Source organism: Homo sapiens, chromosome 7 (assembly GCF_000001405.40).
Source record: "Homo sapiens chromosome 7, GRCh38.p14 Primary Assembly".
NCBI classification, from domain to species: domain Eukaryota; kingdom Metazoa; phylum Chordata; class Mammalia; order Primates; family Hominidae; genus Homo; species Homo sapiens.
The window spans coordinates 33,070,616-33,090,805 of record NC_000007.14 but is presented as its reverse complement, the minus strand read 5'-3'; the positions used below and the strand labels follow the sequence as shown (position 1 = coordinate 33,090,805).

Genomic DNA, 20,190 nt, shown 5'->3' with positions numbered 1-20,190 from the left:
ATTTTTGTATTTGTAGTAGAGACAGGGTTTCACCATGGTCAGGCTGGTCTCGAACTCCTGACCTCGTGATCCGCCCACCTCAGCCTCCCAAAGTGCTGGGATTACAGGCGTGAGCCACTGCACCTGGCCTCTCCCTTTAAAAGCAGTCCTGTCTTGGCCAGGTTCAGTGGCTCACGCCTGTAATCCCAGCACTTTGGGAAGCCAAGGGGGGTGGATCACTTGAGGTCGGGAGATCAAGACCAGCCTGACCAATGTGGTGAAACCCTGTCTCTACTACAAATACAAAAAATTAGCCAGGTGTGGTGGTGGGCACCTGTAATCTCAGCTAGTCGGGAGGCTGAGGCAGGAGAATTGCTTGAACCTGGGAGTTGGAGGTTGCAGTGAGCCAAGATTGTTCCATTGCACTCCAGCCTGGGTGACAAAGCAAGACTCTGTCTAAAAACAACAACAACAAAAAAAAAAAAACAAAAAAAAAGAACACCATTTCTATTAATTAGGGCTGCACTCTCATCACCTCATTTAACCTTAATTACCTCTTTAAAGGCCTTAGCTCCAAATACACATTGGGGGTTGGGACTTCAACAAATGAATTTGGGAGAAATACAATTCAGTCCATAACACACCCAGCACCACCAAAAGAGCTCTTGTGAGCTCATTACCTCATTGTTATCAAATCTACCAGATCCTCTCCAGTCCTTTCTTTGACTTGTTTGGCCTTTGACTTTTTGGGACACTTTTTCTTGAAAGATCCTCAACATTGGATTTCATGGTTCCTCTCTTCCATGTTCTCCACCTAACTACTTCAGTGGCTGCTCCTTCGTAGTCTCCCTTATAAGTCTTGGCCTCCATCCTTTAAATATCAATGTTTCTCACAGTTCTGGCCTAGGCCTTCTATGCACTCTTCTGTGATCTCATCCATTTTCATGGCTTCAAATATCATCAATATTCTGATGACACCATCCCAGAACTCCCTCGAGCCTTGGGTGTATCCACTTAGATGTCCCATGGGGACCACACCATCTATCCCCCTCACAAACATATTACCCTCAGCATCTTTTCATCTAACAGCCACCTCAGTGCCTGAGTCAGAAACCTACCCTGGGCTCCCAGAGGTGGTCAGGTGCCCCTCGCCTGTGCTTCAATATCCAGAATAGCCAGCACACTAGTGCAAACATTTCCTTGCCTCACTGCCCACAAGTCTGGAAGCTTCTTGAGGATACAGATTATTCTGTGTTGTATGCTAAGCTTCTAACACAATGCATAGCACATAGTGGTTTTCAATACAAAGTTATTGCATGTATACAGAAATGGTCCAGTTGGAACACAACTTTGAAGCAGTAGTAGATGCTATGTCGCCCCACCCTTATCTAACCCTACCCCACTCCCACTTTAGTATGCAAATGCTTACTCTCCCAACAGCCAACAGTTTGCACTCACTTCCCATTTCTAGATATCACCCGCCCATGCCTGAAGAGGAAGAGGGATGCCTCCCCACCAAGGTCACACTCCCCTTTCAAGGGCATCATACATCTCAATGACAAGGCAACACAGAGGTATAAAATGTGGCTTGTGGCCGGGCACGGTGGCTCACGCCTGTAATCTCAGCACTTTGGGAGGCCGAGGTGGGCAGATCATGAGGTCAGGAGTTCGAGACCAGCCTGGCCAACATGGTGAAACCCCGTCTCTACTAAAAATACAAAAATTAGCCAGGCATGGTGGCACACCAGTGACCAGCCTGGCCAACATGGTGAAACCCCGTCTCTACTAAAAATACAAAAATTAGCTGGGCATGGTGGTGCACACCTGTAGTCCCAGCTACTCCAGAGGCTAAGGCAGGAGAATCACTTAAACCCGGGAGGTGGAGGTTGCAGTGAGCTGAGATGGTGCCACTGCACTCCACTCCAGCCTGGGCAACAGAGCAAGACTCCATCTCAAAAAAAAAAAAAATCACCATTCCTCATGGTGATTCCTCAAAGACCTAAAGACAGAACAACGATTCAACCCAGCATTCCCATTACTGGGTATATACCCAAAGGAATAGAAATCATTCTATTATAAAGACACATGCACATGTATGTTCATTGCAGCACTATTCACAATAGCAAAGACATGAAATCAACCTAAAGGCCCATCAATGGTAGACTGGATAAGGAAAATGTGGCACATATCTACCATGAAACACTATGCATCCATAAAAAAGAGTAAGACCATGTCCTTTGCAGGGATATGGATGCAGCTGGAGGCCATTATCCTTAGCAAACTAACGCAGGAACAGAATACCAAATATTGCATGTTCTCACTTATAAGTGGGAGCTAAATGATGAGAACACATGGACACACAGAAGGGAACAACACACACTGGGGCCTATTGGAGAGAGGAGGGTGGGAGGAGGGAGAGGATCAGGAAAAATAACAAATGGGTACTAGGCTTAGTACCTGGGTGATAAAATAAATAATCTGTACAACAAATTCCCATGACACAAGTTTACCTATGTAATAAGCCTGCATATGTACCCCTGAACTTAAAAGTTAAAAAAAAAAGAAAGAAAGAAACTCCATGACTCTCATTTGGATGCAGCTAGACAAAATTTGAGGCTGTAAATGCACTTTCCCAATGGTCCCACAGCAACCCTGCCCAGTTTAACTTCCAATTCAGGGATTTAGGCCCATGTAACCTCCTGACTAACAATCCTACGTAGGGTCAACTCTACATCTCTGGCCAACAGGAAGCAGTTGGAAGATAAGACCTTCACCCACAAGCCAAAAATTTGTCATTGTTGCTCTGTCAGAGGTGAAATGTGGAGTCCTAATTATGGAAAAGGAGTCAGGCTGGCAGGACTGAGGGAAAGCAAAAAGAGAAAGCAGAGAAGCTATAAGTGGGCCTTTCTTCATGTTCTGGGATACGTAGCACTCCTGCACCTTACTATCTCCAAACACCTGCAGGTTAGCTCATGGCAACCTTGGCATTATCAATACTCAAAGTAGCACTGTGCAGCCCAAGAACTATCCTATAGAGTCTCCAGCTAGCCTTTGTTTCTTTGCAGTCAACTCTTTTGTTGGCTGCCCATTGCAACCTTGCAACATATTTTCATACTTTCTTTAATAAATCTGCCTTCTTTACCTACAAATGTCTTGGTAAATTGTTTTATTCCTGCACCACTGGCCCAGATAGTCATTGCTCACCTGTGACAATATACCCTTGGATTCTGTCAACCAAGAAGCGGCAAAATTCCAGACTGCAAAGCAATAAGACAAGACGTTTATTGGCATCTTAGGAATTCCAGACTTGGGAGAAACAGATTAGGTTAGAAGTCAAATTGTATTCCAAAGTACTGAAGTAAAGTAGGAATTTTTTAAAGGACACTGAAAGTGATTATACAAGTTGTTTTGAAAGAATTATCATTGATGGAAATGGCTGGCTTAGTATACAACTCCATAGTTCATTGGTTGTTACTGTTTAGGAGTTGCAGTGCTGGACAAATTCAGTTGTTTTCCAAGGATGTTATGGTCCTGGAAAGTGGCAGTTTGGCCCTGTTCAAAGGTTTGAGGCAAGGCAAATTCCTCAGTGGTTGTGGTTTTTGTTTTTGTTTTTGCAAGGTTGCAGGTCATGCAGGTAGTCCTTCTTAGTATGGCTTTCCAACTCCACTTTAGGGCTCTGAACCAGAGTGGTGCCATTTTTGTATATCATATTTCACAATTTTTATTATTATTATTTTTTAGAGCTTGGATCTTGCTCTGTTGCCCAGACTGGAGTGCAGTGGCACAATTATAGCTCACTGCAGCCTCAAACGCCTGGACTCAAGCAATCCTCCTGCTTCATTCTCTTTAGTAGCTGGGACTATAAATGGGTGCCACCATGGGTAGCACATTTCACAATTCTAAAATAATTTGAAACAATACTTCAATAACCTCTAAACTAAAACTTTTCTCTTTTCCAAAAGCCATTCTCATGCCTTATTTATAACCTTACTTTCCAAAAACACATCCTACTTTTGTTGTACACTTTGCAAATGTGTTTCTCTTATATCTAACAGTTTTAATTACATATATTAATTACATTGTTAACTCTTTTTTTTTTTTGAGACGTAGTCTCGCTCTATCGCTCAGGCTGGGGTACAATGGCGCAATCTTGGCTTACCGCAACCTCCGCCTCCCAGGTTTAAGCAATTCTCCTGCCTCAGCCTCCTGGGTAGCTGGGATTATAGGCGGGCACCACCATGCCCAGCGAATTTTTGTATTTTTAGTAGAGACAGGGTTTCACCATGTTGGTCAGGCTGGTCTTGAACTCCTGACCTCAGGTGATCCACCCATCTCGGCCTCGCAAAGTGCTGGGATTACAGGAGTGAGCCACAGTGACCGGCCAACAATGTTAACTCTTAGTAACCATAATTTTCAGTGAAAACCTAGGCAATTAGCAATTATAATTGTTATGTACCAGATGAAGAGCCCAGGACAATGAACAGAGCTTTGAAGACTGCCTAGAGAATCTGACCCCTCCCTGCGTGGCCAAGAGGCACAGCGGGTCCAGAGAGGATGGGGCCTGGGTGCTGGGGACACACACGTGACCCCAGGCCTTACAAAGGCCACTTGTCTAGACTCCAGAATCTAAAGGCTCAAAACCAAAACATAAGCTCACAGACAAGTAAATATTAAAAAAATCACAGAAGTAACAGTTTAAGTACCTTAAAACATGTAGTAGAGACAGTATAAATCTGCTTGACCAATACACCCAGGCAAAAATGTCTGAATTCTTGGGACATTTCTATTTTATTTTACCAATAATTTTTAAATTAGTGTTACTTATCAAAGGTTACTAAAGTCACATGAACATGAAAAGCATTTGGGCTTATTAACTTAATTTATGAGTATTTATAAATCAATTTGGTACCATGTAGACAATATTCAGAGACATATACACATGTATACAAAAAAAAAACAGACACAAGAATCTTACAGCTTTCATTTTAAATTTTAGCCATGAAACTGGAAAAACTCACTACTTTAAAAGGAGAGTTGGATTAAATTGTGCCTCTGTAAATGGAACAAGCTAAAGTGTATCTATCCCACATGGCTGAAGCCCTTGCCAAGTTTTGGAAAAAACAGGGTAGGGGACAGGAACAGTGGCTCATGCCTGTAATCCCAGCACTCTGAGAGGCCAAGGCAGGCAGATCACTTCAAGTCCAAGAGTACAAGACCATCCTGGCCAACATGGTGAAACCTCGTCTCTACTAAAAATACAAAAATTAGCTAGGCATTGTGGTGGGCACCTGTAATCCCAGCTACTCAGGAGGCTGAGGCAGAAGAATTGCTTGAACCCGGGAGGTGGAGGTTGCAGTGAGCCAAGATTATGCTACTGCACTCCAGCCTGGGCAAAAGAGTAAAACTCAACTTAAAAAAAAAAGAAAGAAAGAAAAAGAAAAAACAGGGTAGCAAACTTACAGAGAAAGAATTTAAGGTTTGTCAAGACAGAGTTTGGGTATGTTCATCGAGAAGATTAAAAATGGATGCCAAGTGAATAAAAAATAGGAACTCATTACATGATTTTACAAAGAAGCACACAGATGGGCCTAGAGAAAAGTCAGAAACCTTTTCAAAATAAGCAGCTGAATGCCAGAAACTCATAATTTGGAGACCCATCTATTTAGATATGTGGAGTTTTCATTTTCATTCTCTCTCTACCTCTTTTTTTTTTTTTTTTTTTTTGAGAGATGGGGTCTCACTCTGTCACCCTGGTGACATGATCATAGCTCACTGCAACCTCAAACTCCTGGGCTCAAAGGCTCCTCCCACCTCAGCCTCCTAAGTACCTGGGAATACAGGTATGTACCACCCCACCTGGTTAAGATTTTTCATTTTATGTAGAGTTGGGGTCTCATTATGTTGCCTAGGCTGGTCTCAAACTCCTGGCCTCAAGTGATCCTCCCAACTCAGCGTCCCAAAGAGCTGGGATTACAGATGTGACCAACCATGCCTGAACAGTTTCCAATTTATAACTAGACCATTGAGCTCAGGGTGAAGCCATTAACAAATAGGGTCAACAAAGCACTTGCAGTTTTTAGGAACTAATATACAAATACGTGAAAAACAGGCACAGCCAGAAGGTAGAGCATCTAGATTCTTTGAAATCAAGGATCCCATTTTTTTACACTGAATACCAGGTTTCCCAAAACAGGGAAATGCCATGGGACCAGGTTACACAGTACTTCCACAGCGCATCCTGCTGCAAGGGCCACCCAATGGCAATCAGCCCAATCTACAATTAGCCCATTCCCCATTAGAGTCATCCATTGGTACTGTTTCCATGGCCTCCAAATGTTCAAATTGTGACTTTTAATCCAGATGAGCAAAGAAATGAGTAGTCCCCTGTAATAACCATTCATGGTGACAACTCTCAGCCACCTACAAAACTGGAACTCTTGTCAGTGACTTACCAGCCATCACATACAGAAAGGTCAAGTTCTCCCTCACATTACGAAGTAATGTCTGGTACACTCAAAAGACAAGGAGATCAGGTAACACAATTCATAAAAGAGCAGAGCTTTACACCTGCAAGGAACCTGCCTGATGACTCTTTGGACTGTAAAGAGCAGACAGAAGACCCAAAAAGTGGGTGAGTGGTGCCTTTTTCTGTGTTCCTCACTGGGTCTCAGCATCATTAGAAGTTCCCTTCTGGATCCAACCCCAACTCCTTTTTTTTTTTTTTTTTTTTGAGACAGGGTCTCACTCTGTCACCTAGGCTCGAGTGCAGTGGCATGATCACAGCTCCCTGTAGCCTAGACTACCAAGGTTCAATCCGTCCTCCCACATAGCTGGGACTACAGGCATGTGCCACCATGCCCAGCTAGCCACCATGATCGGCTAATCGTTTTTTTCTTTCTTTTATTTTTTGTAGAGACAGTGTTTCACTATGTTACCCAGGCTGGTCTTGAACTTCTGGGCTCAAGGGATCTGCCCGCCTCGGCCTCCTAAAGTGCTGGGATTACAGGTGTGAGCCACTGCGTCCAGCCCCTTCTAGATCGTTTCATGTGGTACTGAAGATGACAAAGAGGAAAGAGGAGCAGAAGTAAATGGGAGAACAATTTAAATATATATATATGCTACTACCACCAAAATCTGCACCTGCAAAGGCTCCACTTGGGCTTCAAGCCTCACTGCAGCAACCCTCCTACTCGTTGCCCGGTAGCATCCAGGGAGAACAATTCTTAAAGGAGCCAATTGGGGAAATTTTAAGCTTTCTGAAGGGCCAATAAAATGCTGCATTTTTCTCAGTAAAAATCGTATCAACAAGAAAGGAAGTGAACAGAGGACCAAATATATTTTCAAAAGTTGTTTCAGTTGACTGAAAAAAAAAAAATTCCCAGAAACAAGATCCAAAGAGGAAAAGTAGAAAGGCCTTTAAAATAAATAAATAAGTAAATAAATAAATAAATATCTTGAATATCAGCTTTTAATTATGCAGCCTTCTGACCACAGAGCTCTATTTTAAAAAAAAAATTCCTTTCAAATTTCATATGATCAGAATTATCTGATTTTAGCCAGAACAAACAGCTGATAATCCTGGCTTTGGAACTTTTTTACCAAAGGTACCCCCCTAAGTGACTCACCACCAAAGTTATGACTTAACCAAAGATACACAAGACATCTCCAAAGAGATGCAAAGCCATCCTCACAAGATCCAGAACCACCCCAAAGATAGCTCAAAGAATGGGAAGTTTCACTAGCTGCAAACTGACAACCCACATTTCTGTCTGGCCATATTCTCAGCTGACCATCTACACACAAAGACCTAAAAGTCCTGTGTGTCCCTACAGACAGAAGAAGACAAGAAATCAGAAGTTGTCCATGGAAAGTAAAAGGATCAATAACAAACGGGTACCCCCAAAAGTCAAAAGTCACAGAAATATCAAAACAAAAGGGACTAGTTCCCTGACTGGGAATCAAACCCAGGCCACGGTGGTGAAAGTGTAGAATTTTAACTAGACAAGATAGAGTAGTTATTGTTGCAAATCCTACAAAGGATCCAAAACTGGCAATTTGAGAGTACAAATCATTTTAAATTTGTTTTAGATCAGACTGTTGCTCTTTAATTTTGTCAAGAGAATTTCTAAGAATAGCCATGATACTATTACGTGTCATTCTTTTAATTTAATCTTCCTATAAATACAAATAGGGCCACTGTTTACAAAGATCCAGAACCACCCCTTCATCCCATTTAATCTTTTTTAAAATTTAGGGATCTTTCTAATGTATAGGATCCATCTTTTAGATTAGAATTTCCAATGGTGTACTTAGGCCTTTTTAAAAATTTTTTAAACTTTATTTATTCATTTATTTATTTACACACAGATGGAGTCTCACTATGCTACTCAGGCTGGTCTCAAACTCCTGGGCTCAAGGCATCCTCCCACCTCAACCTCCTAAGAAAGATTCCAGGCAGGAGCCACCACACCCAGCTCTAAGGGTGTACTTATTCCAATAGCAACTCAATCTAATAAGCCTTTTCATAGAAAGTCTAGGAGGTAATATTCCAGCATTGGAATAAGTTTTTAACAAGAGATGTTTCCTGGACAGGACATCGCAGAGGCAATACCAAAGATCCCTTCCAAAAAATTTACTCCCAGTAATAAGATAAGACAGCAAGTCTCTTTTTGCCACAGACGGCTAAGGATAGTACTTTCCCAGGACTAACCAGGCAACAAGAGTGGTGATGACAAAAGTTCCTTATGGATGGGAATTTTTTTCTTTTGAGACAGAGTCTCGCTCTGTCACCCAGGCTGGAGCGTAGTGGCGTGATCTTGGCTCACTGCCACCTCTGCCACCCGGGTTCAAGCAATTCTCCTGCGTCAGCCTCCCAAGTGGCTGGGACTACCGGCGCATGCTGCCACGTCCGGCTAATTTTTTGTATTTTAGTAGAGATGGGGTTTCACCGGGACTTCTTATTAAGACAAAAGTCACTGGAAAGTTTGCCGTATTCGGAAAAACATATATACTGTCGCGTCTTGGGTTCCCAGCCAGTTTTAGATTGGCCACCTAATATGACGCCAAATCACACCCATAGATGGTGGAGACCAAGAGCAGGTGCTCCCACTTAGTCACAAGTCAAGCTCCCAAGGACATACAAGACAAGAGAGGAACTTCATCTGGTTTTTATTTTGGGGGCCCACAGAAAAATTTGTCTACATAGATGATGGTCTAGTCAGAACCACAAAACCGACCTGTCTGCATGGCTGGCATGGTTGGCTCAAAGAGGGGGCTTATAGGGGTTTTAAGCCCACGTCCTACCAGAACAACATAGAAAGACAAAGATGATGGAAAAGACTATTTCTGGGAGGAAAGAAATCAATATTTGATCCCCAGTTTATACCAAAAAAAAGTACACCAGAGTTGCGATACCCAAGACTAGTCACACAAATCCTTTTCTCCCAGATTTTGCATAGGAAAAAGGGACAAACAGTGATTTTTTTTGTTTTTTTAATATCTGCTTGGCCAGCTTTTCCAGAGAGACCAGAACCTGGCTAGTAAGAAACTCATACCCCATTCTACTGGCTTATCGGGTCCTGGGTTCCCTTGACCGCTGTTTCCAGAAGAGCAGAGTGGCTTTGGTAATCTTGCTCACAGTGCCAAAACTATAGGGGCGAAAGGAAACTCCTTCACCCTCTGAAGTTTCACTAAAACAATCAACTCACAAAGAGGATTAATAGGAGAAATGGAATACAAATGTGTTAATGTGCATGGGAAGAAATACAGAGTGATTAACCCACCCCTCCCACCCCTCTGTGCCTTATATGTGTCCCATATAAGGCACAGAACCTTATATACTATCCTGAGGTTACAGAAAAATGAGGGCTTGGATTGTGACAAACAGGTTATGAAAGGGGAAGAAGAAGAGGCCTGACTAGCAAAGGTGATCTTATAATGCAGACGAAACCTCACAGGTAGGCTGGGCAGGGTGGCTCAAGCCTATAATCTGAGCATTTTGGGAGGTTGAGGCAGGAAAAGCGCTTGAGGCCAGGGGTTCAAGGTTTCAGTGAGCTGCAATGGTGCCATTGCAATCAGCTTACATGACGGAGTGAGACCCTATCTCTTAAAAAAAAAAAGAAAGAAAAGAAACCTCACAGGTAGCAGCTATCAGAGAAAAATAGATGGTGACTGTTTCTTTTATACCTTTAAAGGTGTCAGACTTTCAGTTAATCTTTCCTAGATCAGACAAAAGAGGGCCTCGGAGAAAGGCTGACTGCATCAATGCAGATTTTCTCTACAGATGCAAATCTCGCCCACAAAAGACAGCCTTTCAGCTATTCTTGTATTTCCAGCCTTTCTGAATAGCCATCTTGAAATATGTTAAAGAAGTATATTCTGGAGTGAAATATTTTGGTTTCCTATACATGCCTGCTATGTTTCTAGAACAGCAAGGAACCCATGTTGACTGGAACAAATGGGATGAAGGGGAGGGTAGTAGGAGATGACGGTCAGAGAGGTTAAGGAGGGGTAGACTGAGTAGCCTTACAGGCCTCTGTGAGCACTTTAGCTTTTATTATGGGTGTACTGGAGAGCCATTGGAGGATTTCAAGCAAGGGAATGACATGAGCTCATTCATTGTACAAATGATCACCCTGCCTACTGTGTTTCGAACAGACTATTAAAGGGTCATGGATAGATTACCAAGAGACCATTTAGAAGGCTATTGCAATAATCCAAGTATGACGGTGAAAATGACTGATATAGCAGCAGTAGAAATAAGTGCTCAAATTTTTGATATATTTTGAATTGATGTGGTGTGTGTGAGAGAGAGGTCAAAGATGACTCTGAGGTTTTTTCATTAGAGTAGGTAGACAAGAGCAGGGCAGGAGAGGGCTCCCCTCCACACACACACCAGGAATGTCAGGTGACCATCTGGTGATGGTCAGGCAGTTGTGAGCTGTCTCTCTAAAATACTAACTGGTCACAGCTGGCGCCAGGGAAAGGCCGGCTCCCAGTAAATAGAAAACACCTGAAACTGGTGAGCATCCGCTTCCCAGTAAGATCTGGGCGAATGGACTCACACATGCACACTATGAGGGAAAATGGCAAAGTTTAACTGGGATATGACCTCCTAGGGACATGTGACTGGTAAGGGAAGAATGCCTCAAGTGAGCATGTGTACAACCCCAGTAAACACAATACGCATGCTCCCCTCCCAGGTGACAGCCCACCCTAAGGGAAGAATCCAGGGAGAAGTAATGCAAGACTCCGGAAGTATGCCAACATATAAAAGGCCAAGCCAAAAGATCAAACCACACACTTGTCTTTCAAGTTGCCCTCTTCCAAGTGTACTTTCCTTCCTTTCATTCTTGCTCTAAAGCTTTTTAATAAACTTTCACTCCTGCTCTAAAACTTGCCTTGTCTCTCCTTCTGCTTTATGCCTCCTAGGTCAAATTCTTTCCTCTAAGGAGGCAAGAATTGAGGTTGCTGCAGACTCATACGGATTCATCGGTGGTAACTTATTTTGGTGCCATGTGACTCAGATACTTTATACTGTTAACATTTTGACCTCAGTAACTAACAGATGGACAGTTATTAATGAGACAGAGAATGGGTGAGTGGCACAATTACAGAAGAAAAATGGAATGAGGAGTTTGGCTTTGAACACATTAATTATGAGATGTCTATGGCATCCAAGTGGAGATGCCAAATAAAAAGTTGGACATATCTGTCTGTAGTGCAGGATGCTGCCCCGGAAAAGAGACTTATCAGCATACGCATGGTGCTCAAAGTCATAATAAGATAGAAGGAGACCTCATAGGGAGAGAGGTATAGGGAAATGAAGATATAAAACTGGACTGGGCACTGGGGTGCTACCAGTAAAAGGAAGGAGGAGTCTGCCAAAAAGACTGAACAGAAGCGTCCAACAAACTCAAGGGAAAACCAGGAGTGAGTTATCAGAAAGGAAATTGTCTTAGTCTATTTTGTGTTACTATAAAAAAATACCTGATGGATAATTTATAAAGAAAAACAGTTTATTTGGCTCACAATTCTGATGGATGTTAAGTTCAAGATTAGGCATATGTAGCTGGGGAGGGCCTCAGGTGGCTTCCACTCATGGTGAAAGACAGAAAGTGACTTGGTGTGTGCAGAGTGCACATGGAGAGAGAAAGAAAGAGAAAGTGGGGGAGGTGCCAGGCTCTTTGTAACAATCAGCTCTCATGGGAACTAATGAAAAACTCACTCACCTTTGAAGGAGGGCACTATTTTATTCATAAGGGATCTGCCCCCATGACACAAACACCTCCCAGTAGGACCCACCTCCAACACTGGGGATCAAATTTCATCATAAAGTTTGGAGGACACAAATTTCCAAACCACAGCAGAAGTGAAAAAAGTATATCTCAAAGGAAAGTGTGACCAGCTATATAAAATGCTGCTAACATATTATAAAGAATGAAGAATTGGAGGCACAAATTCCATTTGGAGACATAGCCAAAGACAGAAATAAACAGTAACGAACCAAGAAGTAAGTGATCCTTTTTTATTCTAAGCTGTGTTTAGGAAGAGTAATATATCCTGGGTTTGCCAAATTCTTCATAGAATTGTTATTGCTTGTTCTAAATTGTTAGGAAGGAAGGACAGAAGGTTAGGTTGACCAAATATTGCCACAGTTTGAGTGGTGGATCTTGTGGCTCAGCTCAATGTTTCCCTCTTTTCAAAGGCCATCTTCTACTTGCACAAACCCCTTCACCTTCATATAAAAACAATTGAGATAAAATTGTTCTGAAGATAAGGGAAATACACTCCCTCTACCCCAAACTTCAGGTATTCTTAGGCAACTAAGAATCTTGTGGACCTTGGAGGGAAATCCCTGGTGATGTGCAACAGTCCATAGGGTTCCACTATGAACAGAAGAACATTCAAAATAGTCTAGCTCCTCCAGGAAACACTTATGAAGACGGGTCATTTAGCATTAGGAGTAGCTCCCTCTTTCAGCAGCGAGTTTTCCTGAGACATGTAAGCGAGCTAAATCCACTTGGGAGTGCAAGCCTGAGGAGTAAAGCTCTAAAGCAACATATTTTTGACCCTGTACATTCTTAGCTTAGTGCAGATAGATGGGGACAGGAAGTAACATGGGAAATTAGACATCAAAGATTGAAATCTTTGAAGGGTGCTTACCACCCCTTGAAACACCAGCTGGATTTATGACAAAATTATGGCACTTCATATTGAGAATTTTTGAATCACTGGATTAACATGCATATTGGGAGAGAGCTGGCTCAAAGATGAAAGAGAAAGAGTGAGAAAGCTACTTTCAATGGCATCTAGAAGCCTCTAAGGTAGGAAATGACAATCATTTCCATATGGGAGGTAAATCACAAGATTCTGGAAATTGTTTCTCAGTTGAAAAAAAGTCTGAATTGTCTACTGTTTTATCCTCTTCTACTACCATTCCTGCTCCGTCCCCCAGAGCCTTTCCAATCCTCTGCTCTCAGAATTGCCCTGTCCAGACCTACCTTGACTTCCTCTCCCATTATCTATGGAAGTTTTAGCAGCACCTTCCAAAGGAAAGCTGAATCCAAGGGAGGATCCTTCAGTGGCTTATACCACTTATACCTGGACCAAATTAGAACTCAGGGGTTTTACTAATTTCCTGATACTACCCAAGATCCTATAGGCTTTCCTAAGGAACTTAGTTTGGCAGTAAAACCTGGCTGGGTGTGGTGGTCAGCCTGTAATCTCAGCACTTTGGGAGACCGAGGAGGGAGGATCACTTGAGCCCTGGAGTTTGAGATCAGCCTGTGCAACATTGTGGGACCACATATCTATAAAAAATAAAAATGATTAGCCAGGTGTGGTTTTGTGGTTACAGCTACTCAGGAAACTGAGGTGGGAGGACTGCTGGAGCCCAGGAGGTCAATACTACAGCGAGCCATGATCACACCACTGCATTCCAGCCTGAGTGACAGAGTGGGGTGTGTGTGTGTGTGTGTGTGTGTGTGTCTCAAAAAAAAGACCGATAAGCCAGTATATTCATATTTATGTCAACTAGTTCATATGTTACTATCTGAAAGGAAAGGTAGAGAATGGATATCAAAGGTTGATTTGAAGAATCCAGTAAGCAATTTCTATTAACAAAAGGCAGAGGACCCAGCAGAAGCCTCAGAACTGACAAATTGTCTAACACAGGTAATTCCCCAGATATTTCCCAAAGAACACTAATTGGTTTAAGGTGCAACAATGTAGACAAGGATCAAATGAGACTGTATTAGACTACTTTGAAAGATTTTAAAAGATGTTTAAACAATACTCTGGAATAAATGAGGCCAGTTGTATTAGTCCATTTTCACACTGCTATAAATACCCAAGACTGGGTAATTTATAAATAAAACAGATTTAATTGACTTATAGCTCTGCATAGCTGGGGAAGCCTCAGGAAATTTACAATCATGGTGGAAAGCAAAGGGGACGCAAGGGACATCTTAAATGGCAGCAGGAGAGAGTGAGAGTGAAGGGGAAACTGCCAAACACTGTAAAAACCTCCAGCTCTCATGAGAACTCCCTCATTATCACAAGAATAGAATGGGGTAATTCACCCCCATGATCCAATCACCTCCCACCAGGTCCCTCCTTCAACATGTGGGGATTACAATTAGAGATGATATTTGGGTGGGAACACAGAGCCAAACCATATCACCAGTCTAAGATCATCAAAATGATCCCTTACTAAATTCAAGTTTATTTAATGGGTTAGACAAACAATTGGCCAAGGTAGTCAAGTTACATTAAATAAACTGGGACTCATCACATATTTCTGAGCTTGTAAACCTTCTTGATAAGCCAACCAGGGCGATACAACAGAGGAAGGATGACAATGCCACTAAAATTATAAATTTACAACTCCAGTGACTTACTGGCCAAGTTGCTAGGTTTAAACAGAGGCCACCCTTTTGGAAGGCGTTTCAAAAACATCTAAGAATGTCTGTATTATAAAAAAAAAACAAGACATCTTTTAAAACACTGTAGAAAGCTGAAATGGGTGCAAAAGCAAAAAGAGAAAATGGAAAGGAAGAACAGGGAGGCTCTGGAAAAATAAAGAGGGCTTTTCCCTTCCTCCTAAGTTACACTCTAGGGGACGTAAATACGTTTATAAGCAAAAAACAAACTAAGGCTTTAGTTGATATGGAAGCCAGACTTTCTATTCTCAACCCTACCCTCCTAAAGAGCCCTCTTCCTTGGAGTAACCAACCACTTCGGATGGTAAGGATATCTAATCAGCCTATGACTGTACATAGATCAGAACTTTTAACTTTGCAGCTAGGGAATTTAGATAGACATCATTCCTTCCTTCTGGTGCCTTCTGTACCAATATATCTTACAAGGAGAGATTTCTTAGAGCTTTATAATGCCCATATCTCTTTTTCAAAAACAGGAAGAATATTCTTCAAAATGAGAAAGAATCAGCTGAAATTGATACTATAAACATTTTCAGTCAAATGATTATTCAGGTTCAATTACTAGGCACCAAAGGAGGAACACCATGATTTGTTAGACTTCATTCCTGATTATCTATGGTCCTGTGCATCCATGAACATAGGGAAAATTCCGATGGCTGTACCAGTAAAAAATACAAGTAGATCCAAATAAACCAATTCCTGATATTAAATGATCCCCATTAAAACAGGAATCCATAATAGGCATAAAGACGTTAATTAAGGAATTCATTGATAATCATTCCTTGCATCTGCCCTTATAATATGCCCATCATCCCAGTACAAAAACCCAAGGGGAAGAAATGGAAATTTATGCCAAATTTAAGAGCCATTAACAATATTGTTGTCCTTTGACATCCAGTATTTCCAAACCCTCATAACCTCTTGTCTAATACACCCATAAATAATAAATGTTTTACTGTATTTGACTTATGTAGTGCCTTTTTCGGTATACCAGTAGATCCTGATAGTCAATACCTGTTTGACTTTACTTGGGACAGTGCCTATACACCTGGACAGTCATGCCCCAGGGTTTCAAGGAAAGCCCAACCTACTTTTCACAAATATTAAAAGTTGATTTATCTGAACTAAATTTTGAAGAAAATTCTGCTCTGCTCCAGTATGTGAATGACCCTTGTTATGCTCTTCCAACTTAGAAAAATGAAAAAGGGACTGTCTATATTTATTGGAACTAGCAAAAAAAAAAAAAACACCATAAAGTCTCTAAGAAAAAACTTCAATTCTGCCTAACAGAGTGAAATACTTAAGACATTTTATTTCTAAGGAAGGGCTACACATAAATCCAGACAGAATAACTGGAATTCTTACATTCCATACTCCAAAAACTAAAAGATAACTTAATGGATTTTGAGATTAGCTGGTTCCTATTTTTTTTTTTTTTTTTTTTTTTTTTTTTTTTTTGAGACTGAGTTTCGCTCTTGTGGCCCAGGCTGCAGTGCAATGGCCTGATCTCGGCTCACTGCAACCTCCACCTCCCGGGTTCAAGCGATTCTCCTGCCTCAGCCTCCTAAGTAGCTGGGATTACAGGCGCCCACCACCATGCCCAGCTAATTTTGTATTTTTAGTAGAAACAGGGTTTCTCCATGTTGGTCAGGCTGGTCTCAAACTCCCGACCTCAGGTGATTTGCCAGCCTCAGCCTCCCAAAGTGCTAGGATTATAGTCGTGAGCCACTGCACCTACTGAGATTAGCTGGTTACTGTCACAGCTAGATTCCTAACTTTTCCCTCATGGCACAAACTATATATTTATTATTTTTAACACTCTTTTATTTTTTATGTTTTTAGAGACAAAGTCTCACCCTGTCACCCGGATTAGAGTACTGTGGCACAATCATAGCTCACTGCAGCCTCAACCTCCTGGGCTCAAGCAATCCTCCTGCCTCAGCCTCCCAAGTAACTAGGACTACAGGTGCATGCCACCACAACCCAGCTAATTCTTTTATTTTTTGTAGAGATGAAGTCTTGCTATGTTGCCCAAGCTGGTCCCAAACTCCTGGCCTCAATCAATGCTGCCGTCTTCGTTTCTCAAAGTGTTAGGATTACAGGCATGAGCCACCATGCCTGGCCTGTTTATATACATTAGTAAAAGAGGATCATCCAGATCTCATACATTAAACCACAGAAGGACAAACAGCTAACTAGGAGTTAAAGGATAGTTTTATAAAAGCCCCTGATTGAAGACATCCAAATTACTAGTAACCATTTTTCCACTTTGTCCATGGAAGTCATGGAATCACCTTACGCATTCTGGCCCCAAAACACGGGGACAACATAGACGTATCAGCTATTACTGCCAACAACTAGCTTCTGTAGCATGTGGATTACCCCCTTGTTTAAGAGCCATCTCAGCCATAGTTGCACTTCTCAAGGCTACTCAGGAAATTGTAATGAAAGTTCCACTACGTATGTACCTCCTTCTGCTGAAGCTCTTCTAAATTTGCATTGCACTTAACCTTTTTCTATTAGCAGGTTGGCTTCTTTTGTTTTGTTGAGACAGGGTCCCACACTGTCACCAGGATAGAGTGCAGTGGCATGATCATAGCTCACTGCAGCCTCAATCTCCTGGGCTCAAGCAATCCTCCCATCTCAGCACCCCTGAGTAGCTGGGATAACAGACATGCCACCACACAACCAGCTAATTTTTTAATTTTTCTGTAGAGTTGGAGGTCTCGCTATGTTGCCCAGGCTGGTCTCAAACTCCTGGGCTCAAGCCATCCTCCCGCCTCAGCCTCCCAAAATGCTGGGATTATAGGAGTAAGCAACCGTGCCTGGCCAGCTGGTGTCTTATGAGATACTTTTACTCTCTCCCTCACATAATACAATCTTCATTATAATGCTCTTAAGCTCACTTCCCTGCTGCCTAAAGTGACTGATGAGATGCCCTGTGATTATATATCACTAACAGTATAGCTCTTGATGGCCAGACAGGATTTGTTAAAACAAAACAAAACAAAACAAAACAAAAAAACACTAGAGAATGCTGATGTTATTTGGTGATAGATCATATCTAAAGGATAAATATTGGAAAATATTGAGCAGGCTATGCTGTTGTGTCTTTTGTGGACATTACAAAAAGTAAGCCTTTCCTTATGGTGATATCACCTCAGCTGGCTGAATTAATAGAGCTCACTAGAACTTGCCAGTTGGCCAAAGATCAGACAGCTAAAATTTACACTGACAGTCACTATGCTTTTGGTGTAGCTCATGACTTCGGAATGTTACAGAAATAACAAGGTCATCTGACTTCCTCTAGACACCCTACAAAACATGGCTCTCACGTCTCTAAACTTATAGAAGCCATTCAATTACAAAAATAAATTTGGCTATAAGATCCCTAGATATTCAAAAACTGAGTCTCTGGAAAGTAAGGGAAGCCATTTTACTGATGTAGCAGCAAAGACAGCTGCCCTATTACCAGTATGAGATGAAATCATAGAAATAGCCATGCTTAAATGGAACCCAATTAAAAGGGAATGTCAGGATGCTCAAGAAAGAGCCTCAGAAAAGGAAAAAGAAATATGATTAGCAGGCTGAGTGTGGTGGCTCATGCCTGTAATCCCAACACTTTGGGAGGCTGAGGCAGGAGGATCACCTGAGCCGAGGAATTTGAGACCAGTCTAGGCAACATGGTGAAACCCTGTCTCTACAAAAAAAAAAATACAAAAATTAGCCAGGCATGTTGGCAGGTACCTGCAGTCCCCAGTTACTCAGGAGGCTGAGGCAGGAGGATTGATTGGGCCCAGGAGGTTGTGGCTGCAGTGAGCCATGATTGTGGCACTGTACTCCAACCTGGTAGACAGAATGATACCATGTCTCAAAAAAAGAAAGAAAAGAATGAAAGAAAAGAGAGAGAGAAAAGAAATATGGTTAACAAAAGGCAAATATTCCCCGCTACCACTTGTAACCTATGGTATGGACTCAATGACAAACCCATTTGCCTATGGGATTTCAATTTCCTATGTTACAACACATCTATGAGCTTATACACTGGAGACCTAAAAAAAAAAAATGATTGCATGAGAAAAACAATACTACTGAAAACCTTCACCCACAATAGCTTATAAGGTTTATGCTAAATAAACATAATCTAGCCCCTCTGTGAGTCACAGAGGCACTTCTCCCTTTCTGCTGGACCCTTTGATATTTGACAAACACATTTCGTTCAATTATCTCCTGTTCAGGGATATAAATTCATGTGGGTTATGATTTGCATGTTCTCCCACTGGGTTGAAACATTCCCAAGCAAAAGAGCCACAATGCAAATTATAAGAAAATGTCTGTAATAGTCCATTCTCAGACTGTTATAAAGAAATACTGAGACTGGGTAATTTATAAAGAAAAGAGGTTTAATTGGCTTTGGGTTCTGCAGGCTGTACAGCAAACATAGAAGCTTCTGCTTCTGGGGAGGCCTCAGGAAACTTACAATCATGGCAGAAGGCAAAGAGGGAGCAGCACTTCACATGGCCAGAGAAGGAGCAGGGGTGGTGTGGGGTCGGGGTGGGGGAGGCAGGGGACATGCTACACACTTTTAAACAACCAGATCTCACAATAACTCACTCACTGTCACAAGAATAGGGGATGGTGCTAGCCTATTCATGAGAACTCTAACCCCATGATCAATCATCTTCCACCAGGCCCCACCTCCAACACTGAGAATTACAATTCAACATGAGATTTGGTGGGAACACAGGTCCAAACCATATTATTGCACCCCGGGCCCCTCCAAATCTCATGTCCTTCTCATGTTGCAAAATAAAATAATTCCTTTTCAAGAGTCTCCCGAAGTTTTAACTTATTCCAGCATTATCTCGAAAGTCCGAAGTCTAGTCTGAGATAAGGCAAGTCCCTTCTATTTATGAGCCTGTAAAATCAAAAACGAGTTAGTTACTTCCAAGATACAATGGGGTACAGGCATTGGGTAAATACTCTCGTTCCAAAAGGGGGAAATTGGCCAAAAGAAAGGGGCTACAGGCCCCATGCAAGTCCAAAACCCAGTAGGGCAGTCATTAAATCTTAAAGCTCTGAAATAAGCTCCTTTGACTTGATGGCTCACATCCAGGGGATGCTGGGGCAAAGGGTGGGCTGCCAAAGCCTTGGACAGCTCCGCCCCTTTGACTTTGCAGGGTTCAGCCCCTATAGCTACTCTCATGGCCTGGCATTCAGTGCCTGCAGCTTTTCCAGGTGCATAGTGCAAGCTGTTGGCAGCCCTACC

At 42.1% G+C, this 20,190-nt stretch overlaps 1 long non-coding RNA gene across 3 annotated transcripts in view; it reads right to left on the bottom strand.

The window, feature by feature from the left end:
- Window positions 1-20,190, bottom strand: part of LOC124901610 (uncharacterized) — a 32,215-nt gene that overhangs the window by 4,594 nt on the left and 7,431 nt on the right. For all 3 annotated transcript variants that reach the window (XR_007060277.1, XR_007060278.1, XR_007060279.1), the window contains exon 3: window positions 3,184-3,236. This is a non-coding gene — a long non-coding RNA (uncharacterized LOC124901610). The remainder of the gene's footprint in view (window positions 1-3,183; window positions 3,237-20,190) is intronic.